Below are 19881 nucleotides of genomic sequence, written 5' to 3' on the forward strand. Positions count from 1 at the left end.
TTTGTTTCCTGCATAACTATAACAGATTGCTAATTAACATTGATAAATATATCTCATTACTTTTTCCAATCACCATACAGGTTGAGTATCCCTTATTCAAAATACTTGGGGCCAAGCATGGTGGCTAACATCTGTAGTCCCAGCACTTCAGGAGGCTGAAGCAGGAGGATCACTTGAGGCCAGGAGTTTGAGACCTGCCTGAGCAACATAGTGAGACCCCGTCTCTACAAAAAAAAAAAAATTAAATAGCTAGGTATGGTGGCATGTACCTGTAGTCTCAGCTACTCACAGGCTGAGCTATGATTATGCCACTTCACTTCATCCTCAGTGACAGAGCAAGACCCTCTTTAAAAAAAAAAGACAAAAAACCTTGGGGCCAGCAGTGTTTCAGATTTCAGATTTTGGAATATTTGCATTATATCTACTGGTTGAGCATCCCTAATGCAAAAATCAAAAATGCATCCCTAATCCGAAATCAAAAGTGCTCCAATGAGTATTTCCTTTGAACATCATGTTGACACTTAGAAAAGTTTCAAATCTTAGATTTTCAAATTAGGGATACTCAAACTGTATCTTTCCAAAATAAAGCAGTTCTAATTCCACCGCATATTGGGGGCTAAATTTTACCAGTACTGCTTATGTATCCTGCCGTGGTTTTCTAAGTGTGTTATATATTTACAGTTTTGTCTCTTGAAATAGACAATTTTACTCTGGCATAGAGCTATTTATTACTTCTAATGACATGTTGATGCTACTTTTAGGCATTTTATTTTAATTTTATTGCAATAGGTTTAGGGGTACAAGTGGTTTTGGTTTCATGGTTGAATTGTATAGTGGTGAAGTCTGAAATTTTAGGGCACCCCTCACCCAAGTAGTGTACATTGTACCCAATATGTAGTTTTTTATCCCTCATCCCCCTTCCACTTTCCCCTCTTCTGAGTCTCCAATACTCATACGCATTATACCACTCTGTATGCCTTTGCATACTCATTATTTAGCTCATACTTATGAGAACATATGGTATTTTGTTTTGTTTTGTTTTGTTTTTTTTGTTTCGAGACAGGGTCTTGCTCTGTTACCCAGGCCAGAGTGCAGTGGTACGATCTCGGCTCACTGCAGCCTTCACCTCCTGGGCTCAAGCAATCGTCTTACCTCAGCCTCCTGAGTAGCTGAGACCACAGGCATGCACCATCACACCCAGCTAATTTTTTTTTTCTTTGGTAGAGCCAGGTTTTGCCATGTTGCCCAGGCTGGTCTCGAACTTCTGAGCTCTAGTGATCCACCTACATTGGGCTCCCAGATTTCTGGGATTACAGGTGTGAGCCACCACACTCAGCCAGTATTTGGGTTTTTTTTTTTTTTTTTGGTTTTGGTTTTTTAAGACAGAGTCTCACTTGCCCAGGCTGGAGTGCAGTAGTGCAATATCGGCTCACTGCAACCTCTGCCTCTCTGGTTCAAGTGATTCTCGTGCCTCAGCCTCCCAAGTAGCTGGGATTACAGGCATGCGCCACCATGCCCAGTTAATTTTTGTAGTTTTAGTAGAGACAGTGTTCTGCCATGTTGGCCAGGCTGGTCTCAAACTCCTGACCTCAAGTGATCTGCCTGCCTTCGCCTCCCAAAGTGCTGGGATTACAACCATGATCCACTGTGTCCAGCCTGGTTTTTTACTTCTGAGTTACTTCACTTAGAATAGTGACCTCCAATTCCATCCAAGTTACTGCAAAATACATTATTTTGTTCTTTCCTATAGCTGAGTAGTATTCTATGGTGTATACATGCCACATTTTATTTATCTACTTGTCAGTTGAGGGGCACTTAGGTTGGTTCCATATCTTTGCAACTGTGAATTGTGCTGCAATAAACATATGCATGCTGGCTGGATGCAGTGGCTCACCCTGTAATCCCAGCACTTTGGGAGACCAAGGCTGGTGGATTGCTTGAGCTCAGGAGTTCAAGACCAGCCTGGGCAATGTGGCAAACCCCCGTCTCTACCAAAAATACAAAAAATTATCCAGGCTTGGTGGCTTACACCTGTAGTCCCAGCTCCTTCTAGGGGGCTGAGGTGGGAGGATCACTTGAGTCTGGGAGGCAGAGGCTGAAGTGAGCCATGATCATGCCACTGCACTCCAGTCTGGATGACAGAGTGAGACCCCATCTCCAAACAAACAAACAAACAACATATGCGTGCAGGTGTCTTTTTCATATAATGACTTCTTTTCCTTTGGGTAGATACCCAGTAGTGGGATTGCTGGATTGAATGGTTGGTCTACTTTTAGTTCTTTGAGAAATCTGCTATTGTTTTCCATAGAGGTTGTACTAATTTACATTCCCACCAGCGGTGTATAAGTGTTCCCTTTTCAACACATCCACACTGACATCTATTGTCTTTTGACTTTCTAATAATGACCATTCTGGCTGGGGTAAGGTGTTATCTCATTGTGGTTTTAATTTGCATTTCCCTGATGATTAGTGACGTTGAGCATTTTTTCATATGTTTGTGGCTCTTCAAAGGGTCACACGAGTCTGGACACAATGGCTCATGCCTGTAATCAGAGCACTTTGGGAGGCCAAGGCGGGCAGATCACCTGAGATCAGGAGTTTGAGACTAGCCTGGCCAACGTGGTGAAACCCTGTCTCTACTAAAAATACAAAAACTAGCTGGGCTTGGTGGCGCACACCTGTAATCCCAGCTACTTGGGAGGCTGAGGCAAGAGAGTCACTTGAACTCGGCAGGTGGAGGTTGCAGTGAGCCAAGATTGTGCCACTGCACTCCAGCCTGGTCAACAGGGAGACTCTGTCACACACACAAAAAAAGGATCACACGTTACACAAGCAGATACACAGTTTATCTGTGGTATTAAAATTTCATGGGAAGGCAATTGTGGGGGGAAGTCTTAAAAAAAAAGCTTCCTAAAGGAGGGGAAAAGAGGCTGGCAACCCCTGGCATAAAAGATTAAACCCAAAATTGGCATCCAAAGCCTTCTACGGTCTGGTTTCCATTGACCTTTCCACCTTGATTCCTATCATTCTACACTGGGGGACAGATTGGACTAAATCTCTTAAGTTCTCTTCCAGCTCTAAGAATGTAAAGGTCTTTTCAGTTTGAACCCTTTTCTGTAACAAGACTCATCTTGCTTTCTCCTAGACAGACTACACTTATTCCTCATATGTAGAATGCCCTTCCATCTTTGTTTCCACGTTATTCACAACACTTCTACCCACACTGATCAGTTTCTTCCATAAATGTATTGTCTGCTACTGCTAATTTTAGCATGGAACCACATTTTTGTTACAATTTACTTTTTTTCTTTTTTCTTTTTCTTTTTCTTTTTTTTTTTTTTTTTGAGACAGGATCTTGCTGCCTTGCCCAGGCTGGAGTGCAGTGGTGTGATCACAGCCCACTGCAGCCTTGACCTCCTGGGCTCAAGCAATCCACCTGCCTCAGCTTCTGGAGTAGCTGGGACTATAGGCATGTGCCACTACACCTGGCTGATTAAAAAAATTTTTTTTGTAGAGATGAGGCCTCACTATGTTGCCCAGACTGGTCATTTAACATTTTTAAGCCTCTTTCATTATTTGTAAAATGAAAGGATTATATTAAATCCATAATATCTCTTCCAGCACTGAATCTAGGTTTAATGTCTTTTCTATCTTCTGTATCCTTTCCCCACCATCCCCTACTAGAATAAACTCCTGTGAGCAGGAACTTCCTCATACTAACCTTTGAATGCCCCCCACATTTCTATGCATTATAGCTGTAATAAGTAATTGAACTGATTAAATTGAATCTGCATTCAGAGGTAAACTTGTGGTTATATCCTACTTGCTACTTATTTTGAATCTTGAGAATATTTGCAGCCAGGCATGGTGGCTCATGCTTGTACTCCCAGCACTTTTGGAGGCTGAGGCAGGCAGATTGTTTGAACCCAGGAGTTCAGAACCAGCCTGGGCAACATGATGAAACCCTGTCTCTACAAAAAAATTCAAAAATTAGCTGGGTGTGATAGCACACACCTGTAGTCCCAGCTACTTGGGAGGCTAAGGTAGGAGGATCGCTTGAGCCCAGGAGGCAGAGGTTGCGATGAGCCAAGCCAAGATCACACCACTGCACTCCAGCCTGGGCGACAGAGTGAGACCCTGTCTCAAAAAAAAAAAAAAAAAAGCCAGACATGGTGCCTCACGCTTGTAATCTTAGCACTTTGGGAGGCCAAGGTGGGCGGATCACATGAGGCCAGGAGTTTGAGACTAGCCTGGCCAACATGGCGAAGCCCCATCTCTACTAAAAAAAAAAAAAAAAAAAAAAAAAAATTAGCTAGATGTGGTGGCACACACCTGTAATCCCAGCTACTTGGGAGGCTAAGTCATGAGAATTGCTTGAACCTGGGAGGCTGAGGTTGCAGTGAACTGACATCCTCGCACCGCTGCACTCCAGCCTGGGTGACAAAATGAAACTCTGTCTCAAAAAAGAGAGAGAGAGAGAGATAATATTTGCCCCTTGATACATTGATTCACACTTTTTCCATCCCCTAACCCCGATCCATAGTAAACTATTTAAATATTATAACACAGTAGAATTAAAAGCTTGTGTTGAATTAATATTTTGCAAATGTTAACCCATTAACAACAAAATTAAATGAATGTAATATTCTTTATCTCATTAGCAGAGACACAAAGCCCTAAAATGGCAACAAAGTTATTATATCTTCTGACTTATTCAATGGAAACAGAAGTTGTAACAGCATTCCTACAATTTGCTGCTGAAAAAAATCCCACCCTTTCCCTTTTTTTTTTTTTTTTTTGAGATGGAGTCTCCCTCTGTTGCCCAGGCTGAAGTGCAGTGGCACAATCTCGGCTCACTGCAACCTCCACCTCCCGGGTTCAAGCGATTCTCCTGTCTCAGCCTCCCGAGTAGCTGGGATTACAGGCGCACGCCGCCATGCCTGGCTAATTTTTTGTATTTTAGTAGAGTTGGGGTTTCACCGTGTTGCCCAGGCTGGTCTCAAACTCCTGAGCTCAGGCAATCCACCCACGTTGGCCTCCCAAATTGCTGGGATTACAGGCATGAGCCACCGCACCTGGCCTCCCTCTTTTTCATCTTGATTCTGTATGTGTACATTTGTAGTACTTAGAAGTCACATTTCACAGGATTGTACCTACCAAAAGAGTCAGTATTGAGAATTTTGTATTTTGTACTTCTGCAAGAGTATTTTCCAACACTAGTGTATTATTAATAAACTAATGAACATTTGGTTTTCATTTGCTTGTTTCAACAACCATTTTGGCATGTATGTGGTGTTAATAGCTTAATGCTTTGAACTGCAGGTGCCATATCTTCATGTATTGTAAATGTTTCTGTCTGAAGCAGTTAGAAAAACTAATGGATCTACTTAGTTCAGATTTAGTAAAATTTTCTGGTCGTATGTGAAAGCATTAGTTTATTGAAGTATAAGAAAATCACTGATTACAAACTTTCAAGAGCACAAACATTTAGCCTCTATGGACATATTAGCTAGCCTATCAGAGGTATTATTGGGGAATAAAAGGCTAACAGTTTATGTACCTTTCTAATCAATGATTAATAAAATCTCTTGTAAGAGCCTGTGTGTTGTCACCGGACATTTTTATCTTACCTTAGGCTTTCTTATCAGCTGCAAAGCAGACTATCCTGAAATTCTTACCAAGATATGTGTTCTTAGGTTACCTGTGTATTAACCTGCTCAGAATATCCAGAAGAGAAGATGTCCAAATGTAATCTAGGCTGACCTTTTTCTGCCAAATTGTTTCAGTTGCAGATTATGGACTCTTGCCTTTCATTTTCATTATATTCTTACAGTTTTTTGTTTACTTCACATCTTTAAAAACAAAACATTACAGGTTCATTTAAAGCCTCTTTATACTTTTCTTCTACCACTATTCTCTTATCCCCCCCAAGAATTAATCACCACTCTGAAATTGGTAGGTATCCCTCCCATGTAAGTTTTTTGTTGTTGTTGGGTGGGGGTTGTCTTTGTTTTTGTTTTTGTTTTTTCTGAGACTGAGTTTTGCTCTTGTTGCCCAGGTTGGAGTGCAGTGGTATGATTTCAGTTCACTGCAGCCTCCGCCTCCCAAGTTCAAGCGATTCTCCTGCCTCAGCCTCCTGAGTAGCTGGGATTACAGGGGGCGCACCACCATGCCCAGCCAATTTTTGTATTGCCCAGGCTGGTCTCGAACTCCTGACCTCAGGTGATCTGCCACCTCGGCCTCTCAAAGTGCTGGGGATTATAGACATGAGCCACCACGCCCGGCCTTAAGTTTTGTAATCATTTAATTTTTACATCAAAGGTGTAATGCGTATGCTTTGCAACTTTCTTTACCCATATTTTAAAAAATTCTGTTAACACATGAAGATTTGATTCCATTCCTCCTCTATTCCACTACATTAATATGGCAATATGTATTATTTTCCATCTATTAACTGTATGTGCATCAGTCAGGGTCCAATCTCGAGACAGAAAATACACAGTAATTTGATTAGAGGAAGTTTAATATGAGGAATTATTAAATGTAACAAGGGATTGGAATAATAAGGAATTGCCTAGTAAGATGTAAGGAGAACTCTAAAGAATAGAGGAATAACAGATATACATATATTTTTAAGGCAATACCACTAGGACTGAGAGTGTCTAAGAAAATCCACCATCCCCTAGGGCTGAGGTCCAGCTTGTTAAAATGAGCATAACCATGGGTCACCAGATGGAAGAAAAGTCATTGTCGTGCTAAAAATACACTCTCTAGAACTTGTCAGAGACCCACCCTCTGCGGTGCCAGGAAAAGCTGTACATAGGGAAGTTTCTCACTAGAGACACTCTGCTATAAAACCACAGAAGGAGGCCAGGCGTGGTGGCTCATGCCTGTAATCCTAGCACTTTGGGAGGCCAAAGTGGGCAGATCACTTGAGGTCAGGAGTTCGAGACCAGCCTGGCCAACATAGTGAAACCCTGTCTCTACTAAAAATACAAAAATTAGCTGGGTGTGGTGGTGGGTGCCTGTAATCCCAGCTACTTGGGAGGCTGAGGCAGGAGAATCGCTTGAACCCAGGAGACAGAGATGGCAGTGAGCCAGATTGTGCCTCTGCACTCCAGGGCAACAGTGACACATCATCTCTAAATAAATAAATAAATCCACAGAAGGAGGAGGAGTTGTCAGTGGTGCTGCTAGCCACCAGGCACTGCAGGGTATGGACAATGGAGAAGTTGAACATGCTACCAGAGCCTGCCAAAGCAAGAACTCAGAACCTACAGTGTCTCTCCAGCACCCCTTTCTGACAGTTCATTGTTGTGCCAGCTGGCAAAGGAAAAATATTATCAGAGCCCAGATTCATTTTCATAGAGCAGGCAAAAAGGATGAATTTGGAGCTGAGAGACAATAAGTTGCTAACTGTCACAGTCTAACCTTTTGGCTATTTGACGTCCACATGCACCTTTCTATACACATTTGAACTCTTGTTCATGGACAAAACAATTTTTATTTTTTGAGACAAGGTCTCTGTTGCTCCCGCTAAAGTGCGGTGGCACAATCATAGCTTACTGCAGGCTTTGAACTCCTGGGCTCAAGCGATCCTCCTGCCTCAGCCTCACAAGTATCTGGGACTACAGGCACGTGCCACCACACCCAGTTAATTTTTAAAATTTTTTTGTGGAGACAAGTTCTCTCTCTAGAACTCAGGCTGATCTCAAACTCCTGGGCTCAAGTGATCCTCCCGCCTCAGCCTCTGAAAGTGCTGGGATTACAGGCGTGAGCCACCTCACCTGGCCACAATTTTATATTCTAAGAAGATACATCTATCCATCTTAAAAGTACTTGCTGTTTCCCCAAAATGTAAAGATATGTAGTCCCAACAGTCATTGTTTCTATTGCTATTTTAAATACTTCTCAAATTCAGTCACAGTTCCACTGAATATTCTTACCTAAAGACTAAACTGTAAAATTATCTACCAACAATCTGTATATTAAAAACTGGAAAGGAGAGAGAAGAAGGATAGCATATTAAAATAAAGGTATTGGCTGGGCACAGTGGCTCACACCTGTAATCCCAGCACTTCAGGAGGCTAAGGCGGGTGGATCACCTGAGGTCAGGAGTTAGAGACCAGCCTGGCCAACATGGTGAAATCCCGTCTCTACTAATAATACAAAAATTAGCCAGGTGTGGTGGCACACACCTGTAATCCCAGCTACTCAGGAGGCTGAGGCAGAAGAATCGCTTGAGCCCAGGAGGCAGAGGTTGCAGTGTGCTGAGATTGTGCCACTGTGCTCCAGCCTGGGCGACAGAGCAAGACTTTGTCTCAAAATAAATAAATAAATAAATAAAGGTGTGAATACAAGAAGCAAAGAGAAAATATGCAAAGCTACTTTGTTTCTGTGATTGGTCATTAAGGTTGTAGTTTATACCTATGGCTTCCTTCTGCGGGAAGCCAATTCCGTGTTATTCTTGCCCTCAGTCAGAACTTCAGTTGCTGTGGGTTCTTTATGTGGTGGAATGACTGAAATTTTATTGCCAAAGTGTCTGAATCTTTATTGTTCTTACCCCTTCTCCTCCCCACACCTGTTTTTTGGTTGCTACGTAGTTTTCCATCAACCTTTACTATTGAAGATGGAAGAACTAGAGGTACCTCAGAGAATCTGGGTTCCAGACATAGTCCTCCTTTCTACCCTTGTGTAGCAACTCAGTTTCCCATTGGTCATCAGGATCATTCTCTCCAGCCAGATTAACTCTCCTTTCTCACCTCATCCCCTTTTTTCCCTGCTTAGTTCAACAACATATGGAGCCCAAAATGTCCAGGTGACAGTCTCATCTTCCAAACCAGGGAAGAACCATTGTGGTGTCTCCTTGTGGAAGCATCCCCCTCTTGGGAACAAAGATCTCCAAACCATCAAAGCTCAAAGTTACCAGGATAGAGAGCGAACATTCTTCTAGTGGGTTATTGGGTGGAATAGTGAGAGGAGCCACTCCTACACCCACTCTTTGATTCCTGGACTATCCTGGCTATGAGGGAGACAGCACTAGATAGTGGCCTCTGATTCAAAACCTAAACTGCATCCTGTAAAGCAGAACCCATTTCTTTCAGGGTGTTGTCTCCCAGTTGACACTGTAACAGATTTTAGTGAGCCATTTCACCTTTCCGTTAAGCTAATTGCTTCTAGGTGATGGGGAGTGGAGTAAGACCAGCGAATTCTACGGCCATGAGCCCACTGCTTCACTTCCTTTGCAGTGAAGTGAGTTCCCTGATCAGACACAATGCAGTGTGGAATGCCATGATGGTCGATAAGGCATTCTGTGAGTTCACAGGTGGCAGCGCTGGCTGAAGCATTATGAGCAGGGAAGGCAAACCCACATCCAGAATATGTGTCTATTCCAGTGAGGATGAATCTCTGTTGTTTGGATAGTTTTATTCTGTCGGCATAAAAAAAACTGGGCACACAGGTTAATGACTAGGTTACCCTGAAATAGGCTAATGCATTATTCTTTTCCATAATAGCACATCTCATTTTGAAACAGTAGAACTTCATAAAAGTGAGAAAGAGAGTATGAACATTTTAGTGGTAGGATTCTAAAGTGATTATGTCCCCCTAAGAAGGAAATGTTTCCCTCTTGAAGGTAGAACTACCACCCCAACCATCCTAAAGAGACAGATGCCTGGCCGGACACAGTGGCTCACGCCTGTAATCCCAGCACTTTGGGAGGCTGAGGCAGGTGGATCATCTGAGGTCAGGAGTTTAAGACCAGCCTGGCTAACATGGTGAAACCCTGTTTCTACTAAAAATACAAAAAAAAATTAGCTGGGCCTGGTGGCAGGCACCTGTAATCCCAGCTACTCAGGAGGCTTAGGCAAGAGAATCACTTGAACCCGGGAGGTGGAGATTGCAGTGAGCTGAGATCACTCATTGCACTCAGCTTGGGCAACAAGAGCGAAACTCCGTCTCAAAAAAAAAAAAAAAAAAAAAGAGAGACATGCCTATGGAGTTCAAAAAGAAACGCTGCATGTACTCCCACGTTATAATGAACACGTGTACATATAGAACTACACGCCAGGAACTGCACAGAGTGTTTCCGATGTATTCAGTAGTTCTCATATTCATCATAGGAGGCAGATACTCTTATTATTCACATTTGATACACATCAAAACGGAGGCATAATAGGGAAGTAATTTGCCCAAAAAGTCACATAGCTGGTATGTGGCAGACTTGACATTGAATATTCCAGTATCTACGCTCTCTTCATTACCAACTATTCTGTCTTTCATAGTAAGTTTTATCTTAAACACCAGTAATTATTTCTAACATTTCACATGAGCTCCTCAAACAAAGCAGTTTAATGGGAAGTGGCTGTTAGGCAAATAAGATACAACCAAATACAAAATTTAACCACCCCTTGAGGGAAAACTTACAGTGTAGGTCAAAGGGTAAACTACTGATGGTGTTGCATTCCGAAAGATTGCCACCTGCTCCTGTCTGATGCTATTCTTTTTTCTTTTCTTTTTTTTTTTTTTAGATGGAGTCTCGCTCTGTCATCCAGGCTGGAGTGCAGTGGCACAATCTTGGCTCACTGCAACCTCCGCCTCCCGAGTTCAAGTGATTCTCCTGCCTCAGCCTCCTGAGTAGCTGGGATTACAGGTGCCTGCCACCACATGGCTAATTTTTGTATTTTTAATAGACATGGAGTTTCACCATGTTGGCCAGGCTGGTCTCAAACTCCTGACCTTAGGTGATCTGCCCACCTTGGGCTCCCAAAGTGCTGGGATTACAGGCAGGAGCCGCCGCGCCTGGCCTCTGTCTGATGTTATTCTGCTTTGACTTTTCTTCCCCTCTCCTTAGAAAATCCCACAGAATGTAGGCACTGCTGTTGAGTTTGTGAAATTCTCTTTTTCCTAAGCCAGGAAGCTGTTTTCTCCTTCTATCTTTTGTTTTTCATCCTCCAGTTTCCTTTTACTCTTTAAATTGCTGCTTTATTTGCACCTGAGCTGTGTTCCCCTTTGGCAAGCTTTCCTTACCCCACAACCCATGCATCTGATAAATGTGTCTCAAGGTCCTTCCTGCCTTCTTCCTCCTTTTGTTTCATAAGCTTCTTCAGTCCCTCAGAAAGAAGAGCACAGATAAACTGACAGATTAGTGTGATTACCTTTAGCTCTGTGAGTGGAAAGCTTGACAGTCAAAACAAAAACCTGATCTCAAGAAAAAATATTTGTAACGTTATAAATAGGGAAAAACGTTTATATCACTGCCAGGTTTGTGCAGATGTCAGTGGCCTAGAGTGGAAATTCTGGGTCTCACTGTAGCAAGCTGCTTATTTCACCAGTCATCCGTTACTCAGAATTGAACATTAATTAGTCAAAAAAAGAACTTTTATGTTTCTCCCTAAGTCAGAGAATTGTAGCTGCCAGGAGGTAATATAGCTTTAGACAGCTATGGCACAATAAGGAGTTTTGCAGGTCTGAAGGCCCCTGCAGTTGTAGAAACATGGTTGGTGTAAAAGTAAAGTTCCAGGCTGGGCGTGGTGGCTCATGCCTATAATCCCAGAACTTTGGGAGGCTGAGGTGGATGGACCATTTGTTGTTAGGAGTTCGAGACCAGCCTGGCCAACAAGGTGAAACCCCACCTCTACTAAAAATAAAATAAAATAAATTTTAAAAATAATAATAAATAAATAAAATAGCCAGGCGTGGTGGCAGGAGCTTGTAATTCCAGCTACTCAGAAGGCTGAGGCAGGAGAATCGCTTGCACCCAGGAACCCAGGAGGCGAAGGTTGCGGTGAGCCGAGATTGCGCTACTGCACTCCAGCCTGGGTGACAGAGCAAGACTCCATCTCAAAAAAATAAAATAAAATAATAAAAAAGAAAGTACAGTTCCAGAGTGATCTCATGTTACAAAGACTGCTTGCAATGGGCTCAGCTATGAGGTGGAGTTTGATAAACAGATGCTATGCTATCACTTTGGATCATCCCAGGGTAACAACACATTGATATCTGGTATCAGAATCTAGAATCAAATAAAGAGCAATGAAGCTGTTTAGAAAATAAGGAAACAGGAAGCAAAAATAAAAAAAAATTTTAAAGTAGCTTTTTTTTTTTTTTTTTTTTTTTTTGAGATGGAGTCTCGCTTTGTCACCAGGCTGGATGGAGTGCAGTGATGCGATCTCGGCTCACTGCAACCTCCTGCCTCAGCCTCCCGAGTAGCTGGGATTACAGGCAGTAGCCACCACACCCAGCTATTTTTTTTTGTATTTTTAGTAGAGACGGATTTTCACCATGTTAGCCAGGATGGTCTCAATCTCCTGACCTCCTGATCCGCCCACCTCGGCTTCCCAAACTGCTGGGATTACAGGCGTGAGCCACCGCGGCCAGCCAAAAGTAGCTTTGTAACACCAATCATTCAGGTTTTGCATGCAGTGCAGACAGCAGAGGAAGCACACTTCAGTCCAAATGAGCTTGAAGTCCTTTTTCTGCAGATGTAGTTCGCACAGCTTTGACTGAACAGCTCCAATTTAGATTCCTGGACCCTACCTCATTTCTGAGGTTTCCTGGAGTGTGGCTCACTTAGAAGGAAGTCAACCAAATTTCAAATGGAGAGGAAAGACTAAATTGAATCTGGAGATATGTGCATGTGCCTCCCTTTTCTTTCCTTATGGCCCAGCTTTGTTTGAGCCTACTATCAAATGTTTTTGTTTCGTTTTGTTTTCTTGTTTTGTTTTTGAGATACAGTCTCGCTCTGTCACCAGGCTGGAGTGCTGTGGTGCGATCTCAGATCACTGCAACCTCCAACTCCCTAGTTCAAGCGATTCTCCTGCCTCAGCCTCCCTAACAGCTGGGATTACAGGCGCGCACCACCACACCCAGTTAATTTTTGTATTTGTAGTAGAGACAGGGTTTCACCATGTTGGCCAGGCTGGCCTTGATCTCCTGACCTCAAGATCTGCCTGCCTCGGCCTCCCAAAGTGCTGGGATTACAGGCATGAGCCACCGCGCCCGGCCCCAATGGTTTCTAAAGCATCTCCCAAAGCATGTCTACCCTGAGTGACAGAAAGCAAGTGAGGAAGACATCTGCAACACACAATGGAAGGCGAAGGCCTCTGGCTTTCTGATTCTGGTCCTGGCTCCATCATTTTCTTTTTATTTTTTTTCTTTTTGAGACAAGGTCTCACTCTGTCACTCAGGCAGAGTACAGTGGCATGATCTCGGCTCACTGCAGCCTCTGCCCCCCTGGTTCAAGCTATTCTCCTGCCTTAGCCTCCTGCCTCCAAGAAGCTGGGACTACAGGCGTATGCCACCATGCCTGGCTAAGTCTTGTATTTTTAGTATTTTTAGTAGAGATGGGGTTTCATCATTTTGCCCAGGCTGGTCTTGAACTCCTGGCCTGAAGTAATCCACCTGCCTGAGCTTCCCAAAGTGCTGGGATTACAGACGTGAGCCACCATGCCTGGCCCTGGCTCTTATCATTTTCTAGTACAGTACATCTTTAGCAAAGACCATTTTCTCATCCCTTTTGTCAGTACAGCACAATACTGTACTGTTTCATTAGATGCCACTGTAACCTAGACGGCAGCTTAGGACTCTGTCCCTTGGAGATATGGGTGGTAGACTTGAGAAAAGATTTCAGAAAGCAGAGGGAGGAGGGGTTTACACTGCCACAACACACAAAAAAACTTCAAATAGAACAGTAAGCATTACCATTCTCTTGTTTTTTCACCTTTTATATTGTGAAGTACATCATGGATACAGAAAAGTGTATTTAATATAAAACCGTAGCTTAATGAATAATTACCAAATAAACTCCTGAGCTACCCGCCACCCAGGTGAAGAAATAAAATATTGTTAGCATTCTTGAAACCCACCCCTTTCAGATGCTCAACCCCTTTCAGATATGATTCTCCTAATCATATCACTTTTCCACCAAAAAGGATGATTTCATAATAGTTATTTCCTTACCTTTCTTGGAATTTTACCGCCAAAGTGTAGATCCCTAAACAATATAGTTACTGTTTTTGAATGTTGTGTGGAGATAATAATATTGAATATATTCTTTTGTACTTTCTTTCCAAAGATTAATCTCCTATGGTTTTAATTCATTTATATCAATTGCTGTATAGTATTCCATTGTATGAATATACCTTAGTTTGTTTATCCATATTCAACTGTTGGTGAATATTCAAGTTGTTTCCAGTTTTTGGCTGTTAATGACATTCTACTAAAGAACTTTCTTAAGAGTGTATCCCACTGATCGACATGTGCATATGTTTCTCTAGGGTCTGTACCTCAACGTTGAATTTCTGGAACACAGGGTAGGCAAATCTTTGATTTGTAATGCCAAACTGTTATTCAAAGTGGCTGTACTAGTTTACCTTCCTAGCAGTAGTGTATGAAAGTTCCCATTTGTCCAGGTGCTCACCAACACTTGATATTGTCAGACTTTTAGCTTTTACGGTGAGGGAATAATGTTATTTCATAGTGGTTTTAATTTGTATTTCCCTGATTAGTAATGGAGTCAAGCATCAGTTTATACATTTGTTAGCCATTTGGTTTTTCCTTTATGGAAAGTGCCGTTCAAATATTTTGTCTGTTTTTCTAATGGGTCATCTTTTTGTTATTGATTTGTATTAGTTCCTTATACATTCTGGATACTAGCCCTTTGTAAGTTGCATGTATTTTAAATATCTTCTCCCACTCCGTGGGCTTTTTACCCTCTTTATCATATATCTTGTGAACAGAAGTTTTTAATGTTAATATAATTATCATTTTACCTTTCACATTTAGATCTATAACCCATCTGGAATTTAATTTTTATGTATACTGTGTGATAGGGATCCTTTTTTTTTTTTTTTTCTGAGACGGAGTCTCAACCTGTTGCCCAGGCTGGAGTGCAATGGCGTGATCTCAGCTCACTGCAACCTTCACCTCCCAGGTTCAAGCGATTCTCCTGCCTCAGCCTCCTGAATAGCCGGGATTACATGCGCCTGCCACCACACCCAGCTAATTTTTGTATTTTTAGTAGAGATGGGGTTTCACCACGTTGGCCAGGCTGGTCTCAAACTCCTGACCTCAGGTGATCTGCCCACCTCGGCCTCCCAAAGTGCTGGAATTACATGCATGAGCCACCACACCTGGCTCATTTTTTTTTTTTTTTCTTTTTAGAGACAGGGTTTCACTCTGTCACCCAGAATGGAGTGCAGTAGCAGTCATAGCTCACTGTAACCTCAAACTTCTGGCTCAAATTAACCTCCTACTTCAGCCTCCCAAAATGCTGGAATTACAGGTGTGAGCCACCATGCCCAGCCAAATTTCATTTTTTATCTACATGCTTATCCAGTTGTCTTGGCACCGTTTATTGAAAAGTCTAGCCTTTCTTAACTAATCTTCAGTGACACTTTTCTCATATATCAAATGTCCATTTTTACATGGGGATCCATTTCTGAGATCTCTATTTCATTGTTTTTCTGTCTATCCCTGTTCAGTGCCACACTGAAATAATATAGCTTTCAAAATCAGTCTTGGATCTGGTAGAACAAGTCTTTCCACCTTGTTCTTCTTCAAGAGCCTCATAGCTGTTTTTGCCCTTTGCATTTTAGAATCAGCTTTTTAAATTACACACCTACATAAACACACACACACAAACACACACACTCACTCATTCACTCAACTGTTAGGATTTTTATTGGGATTGTACTGAATCCATAAATCAATCTGAGAAGAATTAACATTTTTACAATATTGTGTCTCCTAATCCTTCAATGTAGTATCTCTTCTTTTGTTTAAGTCTTTTCTAAGGTCTCTCAGTAAGATTTTTTTTTTTTTTGAACAGAGTCTCGATCTGTCACCAGGCTGGAGTGCAATGGCGCGATCTCGGCTCACCACAACCTCTGCCTCTCGGGTTCAAGCGATTCTCCTGCCTCAGCCTCCCAAGTAGCTGAGATTACAGGTGTGCGCCACCACGCCCAGCTAATTCTGTATTTTTAGTAGAGATGGGGTTTCTCCATGTTGGTCAGGCTGGACTTGAACTCCCAGCCTCAGGTGATCCGCCCACCTCAGCCTCCCAAAGTGTTGGGATTGCAGGTGTGAGCCACCACACCTGGCTTCAGTAAGATTTTATAACAATGTATTTCAGCTCTTTCGGACCTTCAGTTCAACATTTTCCTAAATATTTCATATTTTTGGTGCCATTATCATTGTATTTTTCAAATTTCATTTTGTACTTGTTAGTGGTATATATAGGATTACAACTGGTCCATATATTGATTTTACAAAATTGTTAAATTATTAATTTCATAATTTATCTGTAAATCTTCTGGATTTTCAATGTACACATTAGATCATCTGTAAGTAATGCAATATTTTATAATTCTTACATATTTTGTTGCTTTTTCTTGTTTAACTGCATTTGCTAGATCTTCTGTACAATGTCAAATAGACAGTGATAGTGAATATCCTTGTCTTATTACTGATTTCAGAGAGAAAGCTTACAACATTTTACCATAAATATGATATTTACTATAAATATTTTGTATATACTCTTATCAGATTAAAGAAGTTTCCTCCTGTTCCTAGTTTTCTTTTCTTTTTTTTCTTTTTTTTTTTTTGAGACGGAGTCTGGCTCTGTCCCCCAGGCTGGAGTGCAATGGCGTGATCTTGGTTCATTGCAACCTACACCTCCCGGGTTCAAACGACTCTCCCACCTCAGCCTCCCAAGTAGCTGGGGTTACAGGAACCCACTACCAAGCCTGGCTAATTTTTGTATTTTTGTAGAGATGGGGTTTCACCATGTTGGCCAGGCTGGTCTTGAACCCCTGACGTCAAGTGATGCGCCCACCTCGGCCTCCCAAAGTGCTGGGATTACAGGTGTAAGCCACCACACCTGGCCCTGTTCCTAGTTTTCTTGGAATTTTAATCATGAATGGACATTGAATTTTATCAGATGCATTTTTGTCTTTATTGAAATGATCCCATCATTTTTCTTCTTAAATTGCTAGTGTGGTAAATTACATTAATTTTTCAATGTTAAGCCAGCCTTGAAATCCCAGATAAATCCAGTTTATATTATTATTTTTCTACGGTGATTTGGTTTGCTGATTTGTTTTTCTGTTTTTTCATCTAAGCTCACGAATGAGACTGGCCTGCATTTTCCTTTCTCTTATTGTTCTTGTTAAGTTTTGCTAGTGTTGTGGATGAATTGGAAAGTGTCTCTGAAAAAGTTTGTGTGAAATTAGAGTTACTTATTCTTAAATGCTTAATTGTATAACTGAAGAAACCATCTGGGCTTGGAATTTTCTTTGTGGGAATATTTTGTTTGTTTGTTTTTGAGAAAGAGTCTCACTCTGTCACCCAGGCTGGAGTGCAGTGTCGTGATCTCGGCTCACTGCAACCTCTGTCTCCCAGATTCAAGCAATTTTCATGCCTCAGCCTCCTAAGTAGCTGGGATTACAGGCATGCGCCATCATGCCCAGCTAATTTTTGTATTTTTAGTAGACACGGGCTTCACCATGTTGCCCAGATTGGTCTCGAATTCTTGACCTCAAGTGATCCACCCACCTCAGTCTCCCAAAGTGCTAGGATTACAGGTGTGAGCCACCGTGCTTGGCCAATATTTTGTTCTTGATAGAGTATCCTTTGTTCTTAGAGGATTATTCATGTTTTCTGGTTTTTCTTGTTGTTGTTGTTGTTGTTGTTTTTTGAGACAGAGTCTCGCTCTGTCGCTCAGGGTGGAGTGCAGTGGCACAATCTCTGCTCACTGCAAGCTCTGCTTCCCTGGTTCACACCATTCTCCTGCCTCAGCCTCCTGAGTAGCTGGGACTACAGGTGCCTGCCACCATGCCCGGCTAATTTTTTGTATTTTTAGTAGAGATGGGGTTTCACCGTGTCAGCCAGGATGGACTCGATCTCCTGACCTCGTGATCTGCCCACCTTGGCCTCCCGAAGTGCTGGGATTACAGGCGTGAGCCACCGCGCCAGGCCCATGTTTTCTATTTTTTTCTGGGACAACTTTGGGAAATTGTATTTTTTTAGGATAACACCCATTTCACCTAAAATTTCAAATTTATTGGCATAAAGTCGTTTCTAATATCCTCCTGTCTTTTAAATGCCTGTAACATCTTTAGAACTGTTCCCTTTTCACTCTTAAAACTGATGATATTTGCTCCCTCTCTCTTTTTATCACTCTTGTCAAGCTGGGCACGGTGGCTCACACCTATAATCCCAGCACTTTGGGAGGCTGAGGTGGGTGGATTACCTGAAGTCAGGAGTTCAAGATCAGCCTGGCCAACATGGCAAAACTCTTGTCTTTACTAAAAAATACAAAAATTAAACAGGTGTGGTGGTGTGCACCTGTAGTCCCAGCTACTCAAGAGGCTGAGGCAAGAGAATTGTTTGAATCCAGGCAGTGAAGGTTGCAGTGCGCCAAGATTGCACCACTGCACTCCAGCCTGGGAGACAGAGTGAGACTCCATCTCAAAAACAAAAACAAATAAATAAATTAAATTAAATATCACTCTTGTCAGAGATCTGTGAGTCATTTTAAAGGTCCAATGTCTGTCTTTATTGATCCTCTTAATGTTTTTGTTTCTTATTTTGTCAATTTGTGTGCTTTTTCTCCTCTTTTTCCTGGATTTATTTTGCTGGGCTTTTTTGGAGGGGAAGGGAGCGGCTTGTTGTTGGGTTTGTTTTGGAGTTTTCTTTGTTAGCTTTTTGACATGAATACTTAGCTTTTTGATTTTTTTAGCTTTTTTTCTTTTCTAAAACAAACAAGGTGAAACATATATTTTCTCTAAAAACAAAAGACTTTAGCTTAATTCCACAAGTTTGATATGTATATTTTTATTATCACTAAGTAGAAAAAAAAATCTTATAACTTCCATTAGGATTTCTCCCTTGACTTTTGAGTTACTTGACAGTATGTGCCTTAGGCCGGCATAGTGGCTCACTCCTATAATTCCAACACTTCAGGAGGCTGAGGAGGGAGGACCACTTGAGCCTAAGAGTTCAACACCAGCCCTGGCAACATAGTGAGGCCCTGGCAACATAGTGAGACCCCATCTCTACAAAAAATAAAAATAAAAAATTAGATGGGGCATGGTGGTGCGTACCTGTGGTCCCAGCTACTCAGGGGGCTGAAATGGGAGGATCACTTGAGCCCAGGAGGTAGAGGCTGCAGTGAGCCATGATTGCACCACTGCACTCTAGCCTGGGCAACAGAGCAATACCACATCTCTCAAAAGGAAAACATATGTGCCTTAGCCAGCCAAGCACAGTGACTCACACCTGTAATCCCAACACTTTGGGAGGCCAAGGCAGAAGGATCGCTTGAACCCAGAAATTCAAGACCAGCCTGGGCAATACAGGGAGACGCCATCTCTACAAAAAAAATTTTTTAAATTAGCCAGGCATGATGGTGCACACCTGTAGTCCCAGCTACTCAAGAGGCTGAGGTGGGAGGATCGCTTGAGCCTGGGAAGTGGAGGCTGTAGTGAGCTGTGATTGCTCCACTGCACTCCAACCTGGGTGACAGAGCATGACTCTGTCTCAAATATATATATTTGTGGAAGATTACTTCCTCCAGAGATAATTTGTGTTTGGTTCTGACAGGCATCTGGGGGTACATTCAGTCCAAGACCCCCAAAAACCAAGTTCACAATTTCAGATTCTCTGGAATTCTCAAGAGGATACAAATGCAGGCTAAGTTCTGAGAAAAGACTGGGCTGTGGTTTTCTCAGAATTTTTTTTCCTTTCCTTTCGCTAACCTCTTCCTCACTCAGTACCAAGAGAGTCTTCCCTGCAGTCCCCTGGGGGTGGAGTAAGAACAGTAAGTTTACTGCTGATTCACCCTAACACTTACAGTGTAGCCTTTGAGATTAGTCTAATATG

This window comes from Homo sapiens, chromosome 17, assembly GCF_000001405.40.
Source record: "Homo sapiens chromosome 17, GRCh38.p14 Primary Assembly".
In the NCBI taxonomy this organism is placed as follows: domain Eukaryota; kingdom Metazoa; phylum Chordata; class Mammalia; order Primates; family Hominidae; genus Homo; species Homo sapiens.